Source organism: Homo sapiens, chromosome 3 (assembly GCF_000001405.40).
Source record: "Homo sapiens chromosome 3, GRCh38.p14 Primary Assembly".
Classification (NCBI taxonomy): Eukaryota; Metazoa; Chordata; class Mammalia; order Primates; family Hominidae; genus Homo; species Homo sapiens.
Window position 1 is genome coordinate 175,094,606 of NC_000003.12, and position 17,597 is coordinate 175,112,202.

A 17,597-nucleotide genomic window follows, 5' to 3' on the forward strand; every position below is an offset into this window, starting at 1 on the left:
GGGAAACAAGACCAAACAAGAAGAGATGGAGGGAGGGAGGGAAAAAGAAAAGCAATGTAGAGCCATGAGAATATTTAGTATAACATGGTGATTTTTATATTTTAATCTCTACACATAGACTAAATGTTAAAAAAAAAGCACCAGACACTATAGTGTGTGTGTGTGTGTGTGTGTGTGTGTGTGTGAATATTATACATCCTCCTCTCCATCTCCACAATGTCTTGCATAATTATATAATTATTAACTCCCTACCAATCCTTGAAAGTTCTATCTCCTCTAAGAATAGAAATGTTCCTTCTAACTCATACAGACTATCCACTACTCAATAGATGCTTTAGGTTTACTATGTGAATGCATCCTGATGACAACACTACAAAGTTTATATTATTATTATACCCATTTCACATACGAAGACCCTGTGTCGTAGGGAAGTTAAGTTTTTTGACCAATGTCACCTTTTCCTAGTTTTTTCCTCAGCATCTTTGGCCCATGTGCGCTATCCTCAGCCATAGAGTACCACTCTAGGTTTTTCAAATGGGGCATTCTTATTCTCTCTTTGTGTTTGTAAATTTTCCCCTTCCTGGGTATCCTCCTCTCACACCCTCCTCTCTTGCAAAAGCAACTTAGAGGTCACTTTTTTGTATAATTATTTCTCGTATTTTCTGCTAGAATCAATCACCCCTGAGTTTCCCTGACACTTTGCATATTTTATCTGACTTTTTTGTTTGTTTGTCCATTGTCTCTCTGATTTGATGGGTCGCTATTTGTGGAATAAGGTCCTATTTATTTCTGTCTTCATTACCTATCTCTGCCTGACATGCATTAGATAATCATCTTTATTGAGTCAATGCTAGGTAAGAATGATTCCTAGATTTTAGGGCAGCATATGAAAATTCTAGTCAGAATTACAGTTTTTATTTTATAAAATTTAATATTTAGTTATATTTGAATTTTCTTAAAAATTTAGGAAATTTTAATTATATGGGCCTCAGCTAGCCAAGATTGGAGACATGTATGGCCATAATTCTGTGCATAATGCCACTCCCTTTGTGAAATCCTTGTTTTATCTTTTTCATAGGAATTTACTTGTCTACCACGATTCCTAAGGCAATTAGCTTATCAGTTATCAGTTGAGCTGTGTTCTTTGCCCACCACAGTGGGACACACAGAAAAATCATAAAACATAGTGAGGGATCTAAGATCCAGCTGGGGTGACAAATCTAATACACAGAAAATTTAAGTATAAATACTCTTAATCTGCAGCCATAATACACCAGTGGTTTACTGAATACAGACTTAAGACCACTTGCAGTTAATTAGCCCAGTTTTCCTAATACCACTTGGCAGGATACAACAAGCTGTCATCCAAAGCTGTGCAGGGGAGAAGAACCTCCATCTGCCACTCCTGTAGCAAGGTTATGAAACCAAACTCTCCTAGGCTGGCAAAAGGCTTTCCTCTTTGGATTGATGCCATCCCAGACTTTTATTTAAAATTCACCGAGCCAGGCCAATTCATGTCACTAATTTCTTGGGACATCTTGGTCCTCTCTCATACTCTTAAAGTTGTGTAATCTTTTTGGTAACTTAAGAATCTGTAACATAACAGATTTTGCTTCTTGTAGAATTCATACTTCATTTAGTTGTTCTGCCTATTTTTATAATGAATTTGTGTTTTTAAGACAAGCTCTGGCAATGTAATCATTCCAGGGTTTTTATTATTTTTTCCCTTTAACTTACCAAATCGCAGCTTTATTACTTTTGCCTTTAATTTTTAAAAGTGATTTGGTAACCATGAAGGTTTAATTTTGCCTTCTGCATTGCATCATCCTTCAATGTAATTGTACATTCATGACTGTTGTTATTCTCCTGAGCTTCAAAGATTAATGGGGCGTGTGTGTGTGTGTGTGTGTGTGTGTGTGTGTGTGTGTGTGTAATTTTGTTTTCTCATAGCTTTCCCACTAAGTACCTTCTACTTTCATTTTTCTTTTGTCTTCCTTTCCTATGGTAACATCAACAGAAAATTATAAGATTAATTAAATAAAATATGAGTTTCTATAGGGAGAATTTATTTCCCTGTATTATAATCATTAAACACTCAATATGGCTTACTGTTTTGTTTTCACTTTGTTAGTTTTTTTAATTGTGTGTTTATTTTATTAAAATATATTTTTCTTATTTTCACAGGTAAAAAGATGGCCTATCAGAAGGTCCATGCAGATCAAAGAGCTCCAGGACACTCACAGTACTTAGACAATGATGACCTTCAAGCCACTGCCCTTGACTTAGAGTGGGACATGGAGAAGGAACTAGAGGAGTCTGGTTTTGACCAATTCCAGCTAGACGGTGCTGAGAATCAGAACCTAGGGCATTCAGAGACTATAGACCTCAATCTTGATTCCATTCAACCAGCAACTTCACCCAAAGGAAGGTTCCAGAGACTTCAAGAAGAATCTGACTACATTACCCATTATACACGATCTGCACCAAAGAGCAATCGCTGCAACTTTTGCCACGTCTTAAAAATACTTTGCACAGCCACCATTTTATTTATTTTTGGGATTTTGATAGGTTATTATGTACATACAAATTGCCCTTCAGATGCTCCATCTTCAGGAACAGTTGATCCTCAGTTATATCAAGAGATTCTCAAGACAATCCAGGCAGAAGATATTAAGAAGTCTTTCAGGTAGGTGAAGAAGAAACAGATGTTGTTTGAATGCATTTCTTGGGAAAAATGTCTCACAGGGGGTATTGAACTGATGATTTTTCATGGTTCACGTCAGTGTTGCAAGCTGAGAAACATATCACCACAACAAGAATAGAAACTTCAAAGAGGGGAGCGCACATTTTCAGATTTATGGTACTGCAATATAAATTTGTGATGCAGTTTTATTAGTTACTAGTAAGAATCATAACTACTATGGAGACTAAAATTCTCCAGCCACTGTATTTTCTCCCTCTTGGTGAGCCTTGTTAGGCCAAATTGGGATGCAAAGATTGCCAGATATACAGGTAATAAAAACTAGGACATTAGCCATATGATTAAAAACTTTAATGACATCAGAATAAAATAAACCTGCTTTATGGGCTGAAGTAACTCTTCAAAAGTTTCACCGATGTCATATAACTAGTGGATAACTTGGAAAAGCTTTTTGTTATTTTATTAGCATACATGTTGAGTTGTAAAAGGTTTTCTAGTTTACATATTTAGTGAAGTGAAGAACTAGATATGCAAGATGAGGTATTTGCATATATCTTCTATATTTGCAGAATAAGAATAGTCCTAGGTGAATCATGTACGTTGTTTGTAGGCAGAGAGAGTAGTGAGGTACTGCTTCTCCAGAATATTCTTTCTGGGTTACATTGATTTGTTACAGCCAAGATGTTGGCAGGTGTGCATTTCCGGGAATTTTCTCAGGGAAGCATGTCCACTGAAGATGTGTCACTTAATTCATGTGCTGAAATACCAGGTGTATTGGTGTTGGTGGATTCTAATCCTCTAATCCTCTTCCTGAAGATTAGGCCTCAGTGACTGACAGGAATGTGTTTCCTATACCCTTCTGTGTCTGCTGTTCCCTTTTGTATAACCATCCCTGGACATTTAATATGTGGATAACAACACTTTTCATGATACTTCCCAATGTAAAATTGTTTACATTGAGCTAAAAGATATGCTGTTACCTTATAATGAATGATTGTATCATTCAGGACCCAGTGAAGATGTTGGAAAACTTCCTGAATATTTAAAGTAGAGAAATGCTTCCATCAGTGATCAGGAACTGATAAGCCAATCAGGGGATACTCAGGTAGCCCAGAAATTCACAAAATGGAGCCATTACTAAACCTAGTCTAGAGGGAGAAAGTGATGGGGCTGGAATGTCTGTGCACACAAGGGCAGATAGGGGGGCATAACCTCAGCTGGAGACACCACTGAAGACAGAGAGAGGGAAATACCTCAGCTTCTCTTTTACTCCTGCCACTAAGTGTCCTAGCAGTTGTCCTGTTAGCTGAAACCAGCAAGAGACTGCTGACTTACAACCTGAGAAACTCATTCTGAAGGGATCCGCTGCCTGCAATATAGGCTGGAGCAGAAAAAGGGAAAGTTGCAGATAAATCTAACTGGCTCAGGATGTTATTAGAAAACAAACCAAGAAAATAGAAGAACTCTTTAAAACTGTTTAACTGTTTTTACTTTAACTTCATTATGGACATCTGTTCTATTACAAAATGTCTTCTGGAAAAGGATCCATAGCATTAATTTCTTTTTAATGGTAAGGACAATTATGTGTTTTTTTTTTTTTCCCTGAGCATCTGGTTAGTTTTTAATTTATTGACACAATGAATACCATAACCTAGTCTGCTTCCTTTTTTACTTTGACTCTTAGTAAGTTTATAGTCAAATTTGTATTTGTAAGTTTATAGGAACTTCATAACATGCATTTTATTTACAAACTAAGCTACATATTTATTTTCCCTCCTTATATAACTTTGGCTTTCTTTGTCTTACTTGTTTTAATTCTTTTTTCAGCACCGTAGTCATCTTTAATAGCTGGCTTATGTCTGCTTTGCAAATAGGCAACTGATTATAAAATTTAAAATAAATAATAATTACATTAAAATATTCATTATTTCTCTCAGAATGGAAGCTGCATGATGGTAAGGATTACATTCCAGTCTTACACTCCAAAATCAACAAAGTAACATGTATGTCAAAGCTAGCTCTGAAAGCATAACCACTAGCAATTACACTCCCAGCTAGTACTCTGTAGTTAGACACAGATTAACAATTATGGGTCCATGAAGTAGCCATATTTGTTTTCTTTATTGAGATAACATACTTTCTTCTTCAAAACAATTGTATTTTTGGTACAAATATCTTCATAAACATAACAGCTCCTCATCCAAAAATATCTTCTCCCTCAATTGTCATCCTAACCACATGTCATTATGAGTCTGTGTTTACTGAGCCATCTCAGCCTTAATTCCGTACCTCCTAGTAGTAGCAGATCCCTGCTATTACTTTCCATGAATTTATTAACAATTTTGTGCTCTTACTGGCCCACTATTTTGTTCAATTGCTGTATCTCTTTTCTATTGGTTCTCTTTTCCTGGACATGCTCTAAACCTATGTCAGTTCTTATCAAATAGCCTAAAAGTTGTGCAATACAAAATATATTATTTTTATAATAGACTGCAGACTCTATAAGAGAATGGACTAAACTTGTTTGTCCACCATTAAAGTGCCATCATCTAATAGACATTGAGTAATTATTTTCTAAAGAATGAAATGAATGCATGAATAAATGAGAAACAGATCTGTGTTTAATTCATCAATTATATTATGTATTTTAAAATTTTATCATTTAGATTTTTCATATTATATTACAATTTATACAAAATATTATGAACATAGTATTTATATTATATGATATAATTATTTTAAGTTATATAATTATATTATGATTACTCAGAGGATAGCCTATGCTCTGATTTTAAATAAGTGGCAACTTATATCAAAACCAGGTACTGTAAAAATATTAAAGTATCACTACTGATGCTTCAGTTCCAGTTGAGGCATAAAGACAATTGATGCTACATTTCTAAGACCAACATGTAGCATGTAAAGCTTGAAAAAAATGAGAGTATGGCCCCAGAGATGATTATCCATTTTTGGCTTATGAGAGGTTGGAGAAGCAAAAGCTAGGGAGAATGGAGAAAGTGAAGCATTTTTGAAAAAGCTGCTGATGTGCTATACGTCCCGGTCTCTTCTCAAGAAAGAAGCCTCAAATCCAGTGGAAAAAGTTTAACAAAACTATTTGGAAGATGTAGGGGTGGCAAAACTACTTGGAATAACTTGATATCTTTCTCATTCAGAGAATCCAGCCTCCTACCTGCCATATCTAAGTGATAAGAGATTCACAAGCTAGTTGCTGATAAAAGTGCAAAAGAAGGCCAGGGGCAGTGGGTAATGCCTGTAATCCCAGCAGTTTGGGAGGCCAAGGAGGGCGGATCACCTGAGGTCAGGAGTTCAAGACCAGCCTGGCCAACATGGCGAAACTCCGTCTCTACTAAAAATACAAAAATTAGCTGGGCATGGTGTTGGGCACCTATAATCCCAGTTGCTTGGGAGGCTGAGGCAGGGAGAATCGCTTGAACTCGGGAGGCGGAGGTTTCAGTGAGCTGAGATTGAGCCATTGCACTCCAGCCTAGGCAACAATGTGAGACTCTGTCTCAAAAAAAAAAAAAAAAAAAAAAATTGCAGAAAAAGAGGTAGTTGTTTTAGGTGGCGTACGGCAAATCATATTTCAATGGATTCTATCTGGGTTGAGAGGGAGAGGGCAGGAGGCTTGGAGAGGGGAGAAGCTTGAGGTGTGTTCAGAGGCCTGGGGGTTGTAAGCAGGAGCTGGAGGAGGGTATATTAGTACTCATGTCAAAGGAAAATGAGAAGTCTCCAGTTGTAGAATAAATGAGTCTCCAAAAAACACACAGAGCACACACCGGAAAAAATTTCAGCTGAGAATTCATCCTGAGTAAACACATTCTCTGATTTGCATTGAAGTGTTGATCACCAAAGTGATTTAATCCTTTTGCAATTTATTCTAGCTTTTGTTTTTATATTTGCATCTTTTCCTAATGCTAATTGCTATATTCTCCAATACACTATTCTTCTATTCCTATTCTCCAGGATGAAATGTCATTATTATCCTTTTGTGGACCAAAGATGTTCGTGACTCTCTGTCAAGTGCTTGTCCCTAATCTAATCAGCTTAAGCCAGTTGAGATGCTGGTTATCTTGTATAAACCATGTTTACCTAGGACGGTTGAGAAAGCTCTTTAACTTAGAAGAAGCTTGAATGTCACAGGTACAATGTTTCATTTCTATTATATAATAAATCCACCAAGCCTCTAATAATGTATTTTTTATTTAAAGAAATGACATATACACACACATATATAATTGCTGTTTTGCCATCGAAAGTAATGGCAAAAGCCGCAATTACTTTTGCATCAACCTAATAAATTCTGAAGATCATAAGCAAATTTCTGAGCAGATTAAGTATGTTGAAAACTTCAAAACATAGTTTGAAAATATAATATTGTAATAATAAGATATTTGAATGGATAAATTAATGAGGTTTAGTTTATTTTTGAAGGCAGGAATGTGTTTGCCTTTGACAGCTGTCGATGCTGTGAAATGGTGAGACAAAAAGGAGAAAATGTGTTGTTTTCTAATTATGGCTAATATAATTTCCTCTTCTTAATGGAAAGATCATTATGGTTCTTTCTAATTATAAGTGCAATATGTACAGAAAATTATAAAGAATAAAGTAAAAACCATCCATAATCCTACCTCTTTTTAGAAATCCTTGTTATTTCCTTCTATCATTCCCTATCAATCAGAAAATTGTATTAGGCCATGTATATTTCTTTAACACCTGCTTTAGAATTTTTTAAATTAAAATATTAGAATCACTTTTCAAGCCAATAAATATAGATTTAAATCACTACATAAAATACTGCCTGGTATTCCATTATATGGATGTCATGTAATTTAACCTATTTCTTATACAGGGACCTTTAGGTTCCCTCTGTAAACATTCTTGTACATAAATCCAATTGTGCCTATTTAATTATTCCCTTCTGATGAATTCCTGGAAACAAATCACAGCTTCAAGGAGTTCCAATTTGTGTAGTTGTTTGCTTTGTGTCACCAAATGGTCTTGCAGAACCTCCAGCCTTCCAGGTCCTTATTTTTTATTTGTTTTTGATAGGCCAAAAAGAATGTTGATAAAGGTTTTCCCTATGAATTGACCACGTGCATTTCATTTTTCATGTATGAATTACTTTTTAAAGGAGTTTCCCCATGGCTTTTATTGGTTCTTTCCCATGGTATTTAAAGGTTCAGAAACTAAAATGTCATAATAGTAAAGCAGTCAATCACAGTATGTATGGTACGCCATCTCTTTGGATTTCTCTTACTAGACACATTTTATTTTCTGACTTCACAAATAAAATGAATAAATAATAAAATACAATCTCTAGAGATGTATCTATTTTTAAGTGTTTGCATTATTTGGACAGGGCAATATTTTTTATCATTGATACAACTAAGCAAGCATGAGTTAATTTATACTGTGAAATGATCTTTATAAGCAATATAAAAGACCATATTTTCTTAGCTGAGGGTTAACTCTTCAAAACATTTAGAAAATGTTATAAATTGGCCAGGCACGGTGGTTCATGCCTGTAATCCCAGCACTTTGGGAGGACAAAGCAGGCAGATCACGAGGTCAAGAGATTGAGACCATCCTGGCCAACATGGTGAAACCCGGTCTCTATTAAAAAATACAAAAATTACCCGGGCATGGTGGCATGGGCCTGTAGTCCCAGCCACTTGGGAGGCTAAGGCGGGAGAATTGCTTGAACCCAGGAGGCGGAGGTTGCAGTGAGCCGAGATCCACCACTGCATTCCAGCCAAACGGCAGAGCGAGACTCCGTCTCAAAAAAAAAAAAAAAGTTTTAAATTATCTTCAACAATACCATGATGAATAACATCTTGTCTGGAAACCTAGTTAAAATGCTGCTTCAGATATAGGCATATTTTAGTAATTACTTAATATAATACATTGAAATTGATTCCTAAGTCTCGTTTGTTTTCTGTTCTTCTCAATGTACTTTTACAAATGATCTTCTCCCTTTTCTCTTCCTTCTGTCTCCTCTTCCTCCTCCATTACTCCCTTTCAGCAACTAAATAGTATATTTAGTTATCTTATGTGTAATATGGGTGGTACATTCTGTAGTACTAATTAAACTTTACCATTGACACTATTTGTTTAGGTTATCTGGCTTTAATGACATTAAACTAAAGGAATGACAAATTTACTGCATATATACTGCCACTTCCTGTGTCATGCTCCATGTCCATTAATCATAGCACTCTTTATCATTGTACTCAGACCTTGCCTCAGAATCCTTCTCCACCCAACATTCTTGAAAGCCCTTATTAATTGATCAGAAGTACACAAGAGAGGATTTTCCATTCTTATCCTATGATATAGCTATGATGGATCAAAAGATACAAATAAGTTCATTTAACTTATAGGGATGAATTTTTCTTTTCTGGAAAGATAAATTCCATAATTTAACCGGGACAACTATCAACAGCAAGAAACACAACTTATGACCACTCTGTAATGCCAAAGAGTTCAAAATCTTAGAACCCTTCATTTTAACATTTAGTATGTTTTTATGGTCTTTCCTGACAAAATTGATCTGCTGAAAGGAGAAAATCTCTGTCCAATCTACCTAGAAACAAAATATATATAATTTACTTTTTCACCTATGTCTTTCTCACCAGTACTAATTTACCATCCCGTGATATAAGAAAATAAGCACCTGGGCTGCTTTCCTGTCCCCTTCTTTTAACTCAGACATTAGGTTTGTTTACTTGTTACAGTATTGGTGTCTTTCCTGTGCAAACAGTTTTCTCATTTTTTTAATCTCTCCCTTTCCACACCTGCCACCCATGTTAACTTCCTTCCATTCAAGAACCACTGCACTTCATTTACCAAAGAATGTATAATTGAGCAAGTTTCCTGTTCAAGACAGCTGACGACTTATACATTACCTCCAGTCTTAAATGAGGGAGGCGAGGTAGTCCTTACCTATAGGTAAACTGGCTGTGGAATCCATGAAGAACCACAGAGTGTTTTTATGGTTATCAGGGCACTAGAAAGGCTAATATGAAATAGTGGTTTGTCTCTCCTCTGACCCCACAAGAATATATTTTTCACTGACATGCTTTTGTACAAACATAAGATGTTGCTGTTGTTTGATGATGGTGATGTCATCAGCAACTGTTCTCTTCTAGTCTCCAGCCTTACTTTCCAACCATTTTTTTGGCCCCTCTTCACATTATTGTTGTTCCTATTATTATTATTTTTTGTACTTTGTCTTCTCTATTCTTCATGTTTTTTGTCCCTCTCTAATTTCAGTATTAAAATGAATGAGAGTAGGAAGATTGGGAGACATGAAGAAAGCAATAAAGCAACTGCTATTTTAATTAGAGAAAAACATGTAAATGCATGCACATAATTCAGTGTATGCAAACGATAACAGAATGAATTTAACAGTAATAGAGTGATGGCTCCTAAAGGAAGTAATTAGCTATCCTATCGTTGATCTCTCCAGATAACAAATGTACATTGTCTGAAGTTTAATCAGAAAAGGAATACATAGGATAAGATTGATTTAATTATGCATAGTGTTTCATTGCTCTGAACCTTAAGTAAGGCAACTCCTTAACTCGGAGTTTCTCAGTGTTATGCAGAATGACATTAATTGTATTAACTGGATTCAACTCACAGATCCAAGCTTATGCCCCTCGCAATCCTTAGGTATTTGGCTAAAGCAGCACCCACCAATGGGAAGAATAAAGATTGTTGACAGTGGGGCCTTTGACTGCAATAACTTTCTCCATCTTAACCTGTTAAAATACTGTAAAATACTGTTTGAGATCTGGCTCAGGTGCCCACTCCTTCATGGAAATCTCATTGATATCCCATCAGCTGAATTCTCTATTTGCCTTTGCAACCCACAGTACTTCATTTCCTCCCATTTTGTTGGCATGAATCACTTTCTGTTTCACAGTGGAGAAAGAACTATGGGTCTGGCAGAGTTTAAACAGCATGTAGGCTCTCAGTAAGTCTTTACTGCCTGAGAAAATGAACCAGAGTACAGATCTTCTTGATAAGGCTTCATGTCCATGAGGATTATCACTTTTTTTGAAAATGAAAATAATGTATACTTCTGGTTATTTATACCTCTTATTGAAATTTTAATCATACATATATATGATTCACATATATATAAATGGCTATGTATGTATGTGTGTGTATATTTATATATAAATTCATATTTTATACATTCATATATTTATATATAGATTTATATATATTTATATATTCATACACACACACATACACAAATCCTAATCCATGCTTTAGAAATTAAGCAAGATATTTGAGAATACACACAGACACACACACACACACACACACACACACACACACACACACATCCCTTTGATTTTTAAACAAATTTTATCTATGTACTCATAGCATGTACTAAAAAAGTTGATTTTGAAGATAGAAGATTTTTTTCTCTTACATAAAGGTGAGCTGGATGTCTACTATATTCCAGGCACTTGGCTAGTCACTCTATAGTTTTTAATGACATTCTGTTTAATCTTGAGAGCATTATTTTTCTATAAAGAAAAAATGAAAATAAAGATTTCACAAAAGGTATTTCCATGATCACAAGTTTTCAGGAGGTGCAAAGTGGATCCCCTCACAGGTCTTTTTTTATCCTGTTAGTTTCAGCTTCAGGAAGAGGTTGTCTCAGTCTGGGCCATTTCTGCCTAAAGGTTTGCTTTCTTACTCTTAATGGTCAAGTTCAAAGGATTCCATCTCTCTTCTCCTCAGCCCCTGTGCATTCACACATGCACACAAATTATTTTATCCATTTGGTTACAAACTGAGATTAGGTTAGTTACTTTCCTAGTAAGCAAATGTCCTTTTCTTCATCTTTTTTATTAAGTCTATCTGATGTAAAGCATCAGGACTAAGTTAGAGTGTTAAGGATCAAAATGTTGGAACCATTAATTTTTCTAATTTATGTTGTATTAATTAGCGGGATCTATTTTACATAATTGCAGTGATTATCTTCTACTGTCAATGAACTATTTCCATCAGATATATCAGGATCATCTGTGATACTGGCTGCCTATTCTGAAAATTGATCAACTTTAGAGCTAGTCACATTTTTCTTGTATCTTTTTCCTGCATTGACTATAATATGCTTTTCCATCCATCCACTTCTTGATCTTATTCGTTCCAAAAAAGGAACAGGATCAGTCAGTTGTAGTACAAGGGAATAACAAATGTTTTACTTTGAGAATCAGGTATGTCAATTTCCTGTGGATTCATTTGACTTCCTGACACTCATGCTATAGAAAAGTTGGTAATGATCACATTCAGTAGAGTGCGGTGTAAGTTAAACATGGAAAAGTTGAGAACTGTTTGTATGCTTCTCTCTTTCACGTTCCTGTTTAATGTCAATGAAATCAAGATTCAAGTGGCAGACGTGGTCCTTTGAAATTTGCAATTTGAAAATCCTAATCCATGCTTTAGAAATTAAGCAAGATATTTGAGAATTTCATCTAAAACCATTAATTCCATAATCTCATAGGAGTGATTTACAGGGGAACATTTAAATTAAAATACATTTTAAAATAGATTATTTATGCAAAAGTATCGAATCAATTAAATATTGTAGTCACTTAAAAATTTTTCCAATGGATATTTCTAGCTAACGAGAGAGAAAGTAAAGTTGCTGGGCAATTTAGGTACCAAAAACAGGTGATGAACACCCTCACTCTACTGTCCCCATCCTGGGAAACTATCACTGAATGGATAGGTAATTTTATTTTTGCAAATTGTAGATGCTTGTATAACCAGTGTAATGTTTAATTTTATGTAGCAACTAGGCTAATACATGGTATCAAATGTTTGGTCAAATATTATTTTAGATGTTTCTGTGAAGGCATTTTTAAGATGAGATTGAGATATAAATTAGTAGGCTTGGAATAAAGCTGATTACCATCCATAATGTGGGTAAGGCTCATCCAATCCATTGCAAGCTTTAATAGGGAAAGACTGTCCTTCCCAGAAAAGAAGTAATTCAACCAGCAGACTGCCTTTGGACTCAAGCTGTGTTCTTCCCTGGGTCTTTAGCCTGCTAGCCACCTTGCAGATTTTTGACTTGCCAAACATTCACAATTGTGTGAGTCAACTCTTTAAAATAAACCAATCTAGCTCTTTTCATACACAAGCACGAACACACACATACACACACACACACACACACACAAACACACACACACACATCCTATACGTTCTGTTTCTCAGGAGAACCCTGTTTTATACATACAGATTTATATAACTGAAATAAACCAATGTAAAATGGTTGCAGTTGTAAAATTCTAGAATAATTTAGTCAGTCCTTAGGGTTTAACTAATAATATGAAAAATTGATATTGAAATTTTTAGAAATTACCAATGTTCATTATTATATTTATTTCATTAAAAAATTTCAGATTTTTTTTAATGTGGTAATATTAAGTCTATGAAAGCATAGAATTTGAAATTCTATGTATCTAACAAATACTTCAAATATATTACTAAAAATGCTTAATCATTTTCTTCAACTTATTCAGTTTGTGGCATCAAAATGTAATCAACTCCCCAAGCAAAAATTCACTTTCCAAATTTCACAAAGTATCATTCTTATCTATAAAAAAAATGGTATTGAAGTTCTCTTTCCTTTCATTATAACTGGAGAAAATATATTAAATTTTATATGCCTGATTTGGGAAATCAGTTTCTGTCTTCAGTAACTGATTGTATGTTATATCTGGGTCTTTTACAAATGAAGTGCCCTTCTATTGCTTAAAAATTGCTTTCCTGTGCAACATGATGTAGTAATGAATTAAATCCAAATGAGCCTTATATACACAATGTCATAATATGTAACTTGTCCCCTGTGGAACTTTTTTATTATCTAATACAAGGCAAGCTAATGTCTTCCTCTCATGGCTCACTTCTCAGAAGGGTATGCAGCTTTCAGTATTAGAAATAAAGAAAGAAAACTATGATTTGAGATCAAATTACCTTTTTATAAACTATCTAAATCACAGAGAGCACCTTAACATGTCCTGAAATGTGCAAATCTAATTCTCATAGAACAAGAAACAAAAGAAGCAGTTCCAATTCTATGGAGTACATTTGTATCTGTGAGAATAAAATGAAACTGATCATTTTTCTTTGAACAGAAATGTGTGCAGGTGATTTTACCTTCAAGAAAAATAAAACAAGTGTGGGTGTTTTCTCTCTATTTCTTTGGTCGGTTTCATCATATTAACTCTATTCTGTAGGGAAAAACTTGTAAGATCAGCTTGTACCAATATTGTATTTCAAGCTGCTACATAGATTTAAAAGCTCTAATTTATTAGCCTGATAATTTTTGTAACTTGATGAAACACATCAGATATTCCCTTATTATAACTTCCTTAGGCTTATCTGAAAGGTATATTTTAATTAAACTGGATATTTCAAAATATGCCTTGCTATTTCATGTGGGCAAAGAGCAAAGATAGACAAATATTTATTCTATTCCATTGGGACAGCCAAGAAAAATTGTGTCAGGTTTTTATAAGCTGTTATTTCTTGTGGTTTTTCTGAAGGTTTTTCTCTTGGGGGTGGCATGGGCAGATTTTTTTTCTTCATCCTGTTTGTGCCATAGCTAGATCTGAGTCAATTGCTGCTGGGTATAACATGTGGTCCAGATCTAAGCCTTTCCTCCACTTTCTTATTTTAAGTAGAGAACAAATTCCTATAAGATCTGTTTTCGATTGTTTAATTTTTAAATTATATTTCAATCAAATAATTAAAATCGCATACAAACATAAGCAAATTGTCTATGTAGAACAGTGCAAGGGAGTTAGAATCAAGGTCAAAGCTATAAACTGTTATGGGGGAAAGTAGACACCTCAGCTTTCTAATTTAATGATTTATGCTGTTCTTAATCAAATTTATATTCCAATTTAAAAGTAACACCTGATAGCCTATCATCGCAAGATGCATTAAAGGTCTCTTTTAATGCAAGTGTATTTATTCATGTTAACAAATATTTATTGAGGTCCTAGTGAGTGATGGGTACTGAGCTAGGTACTACAGACAAAGCAGTGAATAAAATATGCAAGATACCTGCATTTATGGTGTTTATGTTCCCATTGGCCACACCTAGACAATAGGAACATACTTGTTTATATAAACAAAATATAATGACACAAAATCACACATTGTAGTAGGAATGAAGGAAGGAAAGAAAGAAGAGAGGGAGGGAAAGAAAGAGGGAAGGAATATAGTTTACAAAGGTATCTAGGTGATTATTTGGGATGCAGTGGTCAGTTCAACTTCAAACGAACACTTACTGTGCTCTATGAGGGTGGATCAGCCCCTCTTTGCCTCTTCAGAGATTCTAGCATTACCCAGCAACTAACTGGTTGTCAGAGCCTGCCCCACCTCTTAACTTTGCAGAATGCCATAGAACTGTTTCTTTACTAATTTATTTGGTTTTGGTCATCATATTTACAAACAATAACAAAACAAACGAACCCACTCGTAAAGAGCAGGTCAGCAGAAAGGGCAGGGGAGGAGCATATGGTGCTACGTTCTCCCCTGTTGCTGAATTTCTATTCATTTGTAACATTCCATGTGGAATTTTACTTTTCCAAACAAGCATCACTGCTCCATTCCTACCTCTCTCTTTAAAAATATTGAAAGTACAGTAATTTATTTAAAGTTCTACTTTTCTTCTCAAAATAGCCTCACTTCTAAGGATTGCCTCATCGCTTTCAGTTATTGTGTTTTGGGGCATTTTTCCCATAAATTTCACATTACATACAGAACTCTTATGGTACGAATAATAAGAGAAATGTATTTCTGATTCTTCAGTCCTATTCTAAAAGAAGCAAGTTAAGGATGATACGTTAATCCTGGATTCTTGATTTCTTCATTTCATTTTAATCAGTTGCAATCATTTAAATTAGTTGAACTTTGCTAATTATATACAATTATGATATGATGACCAGTGGTGTATGTTAACTTTTAAAAAATACAGGCCATATTAGTGAGAAAAATTCATTTACAGACATGGAAATTAAACAAAGATGTTAACATCAATTTTCCTAACATCAATTTATACTGCAATTTCAGCCCTTCGTATGTATAGGGACAGGGTTTTGGGAAGGCATTCTGCTGTAGCCTTTTCAGTTGCCCTTTTGACAACTTATGGCCAAAGAGGGAAGAAGTTGGGCCAGAGGATTTGATAACACTCAGTGTGTTCTCAGAATTGACAGAGTGGTACTTCTGTGGTAATCATGAATGCAGAAAAGATAATGATTGCTGATAGTAATTTTCATTTCAGGAATAAAATTATTTTTCTGTTTGGGAATCAGAGCAAATTGAATAACAAAGAGTACTGATATTACTACAATAACCTATAAGCAGAAAGATAAATTTGGGGATTGCGGAAAATGTCACTTAGAAAATAATTTGCTGATTGGTTCAAGAAAAAATATGTGAAAATAACACAGGATGACCAAAAACGTTTAGTAAATCTGGGTAACAATTTGGGGTCAAAGAAACAAGATGAATGACAAGAGAAAGAAAATGAATTAAAGTTGTTTTTATTTTTTCTGCCTGATGGTTCCAGAGGGTTCCTGGAATAAGTGCACCTGGATTAGAAAGTGATCTAGGATCACAACATTACTCTAGTGTCTAGTTTAGAAAATTCTTAGAAGAAGGGAAGAAAAAAGGCTACCCTGTAAGCTAATGGGAGAAAGAGTCAACAACAGTGCAGTTGAGAAATGACTATTCAGCTATTCAAATCTGAGAGGTCACCTCCCATATCCTGTGTGGAGCTATGTCCAGGTGCGGGGAAGAAGATGATTCTTTGCTCTACGGAATATTTATCCAACCTAAGTCTGGGTCTGGAAAATGAAGTAATAATGTGGATTGGAATCCAAAAAGAGCTACAACACTTAGCAGAAAATCAAACACACTTCTAGATCTCCCTTGACCTTGGAAAGTTGCCCAGGACTTTCCAGAATCTGTACTTAAGCTGTACACTCAGTGTTTAATAGAGGTTACACAGAATGTTTTTGGGTATTAATATAACTCTGTCATAGGAGTATTTATGTTTAGTGTTTCTGAAATTCTCCAGAGTTCTGGGAAATAGGAATATGCACCTAGAACTATTGCTGAAATACCAACTCAGGAGCTACAATGGTAACCTAGATATCAACTTACGATCTTTTTCAGATAGCTACTGACATAATTTTTAGGAAAATAAAAGAAACAAAATTTGAAAAATGGTTTTCATTTGCTCCTGAGTTAGTTGTACCCTAAAGCAAAGGCTCAGACTTCAGCGGTGGTCTACACATGCCCTTAGCACAGCTCACTTCCTAGGATGTTTAGACTTAGGTTTCACTTGATCCAATGCTGCTGCCTTCTCTAGTCAGACAGTCAGGAAAGGGAAAATTAGGGTCATTCCACATATATTCATATTCCCTGTAGTGCCAGTACTATATTTTGGTACGGGCATTTCATGTTATTGTGAAGACTTGAAATCGGGGGAATTTATATCACAGCAACACAACCAATTTGGAAACAGACTTGAAACTGGTCTGCCTGGGATCAAATCCCAACTCCATTACATCCAGCTAATGTAGTGGATGATCTTGAACAACATTCTTAAATTTACAATGACACAGTTTCCTCATTTTTAATATATAGCTAATAATGGTCCCATCTTTAAATAAATGCATAAATACATAAATAAGGTTTAGATGAGAACCTGACACATAGTAAACAATATTACCTGCTATTTATGATTACATTATTTTTGTTAATAAAAGGTCTTCAGCCATTCTCCATTGGTGATTCCTCATTGACCACCATCCTTAGTAGATGTGCT

General features: G+C 35.0%; 1 protein-coding gene and 1 long non-coding RNA gene across 23 annotated transcripts in view; one reads left to right on the forward strand and one right to left on the reverse strand.

Moving 5' to 3' along the window:
- The window catches only part of NAALADL2 (N-acetylated alpha-linked acidic dipeptidase like 2), a 1,369,567-nt gene that overhangs the window by 653,624 nt on the left and 698,346 nt on the right, over positions 1 to 17,597 (forward strand). For 21 of the 22 annotated variants that reach the window (XM_017006077.3, XM_047447876.1, XM_017006075.3 and 18 more), the window contains one exon: positions 2,185 to 2,686. In XM_017006077.3, coding sequence (XP_016861566.1) covers positions 2,193 to 2,686 — 494 coding nt within the window. In that variant the 5' untranslated portion in view covers positions 2,185 to 2,192. Of the gene's footprint in view, positions 1 to 2,184; positions 2,687 to 6,685; positions 6,863 to 17,597 lie in introns of those variants that run through there. The other variant, XM_017006083.2, reaches the window with a different exon arrangement.
- NAALADL2-AS3 (NAALADL2 antisense RNA 3) overlaps positions 1 to 17,597 on the reverse strand; it is a 35,931-nt gene that overhangs the window by 15,294 nt on the left and 3,040 nt on the right. The gene's annotated exons all lie outside the window — the stretch shown is intronic.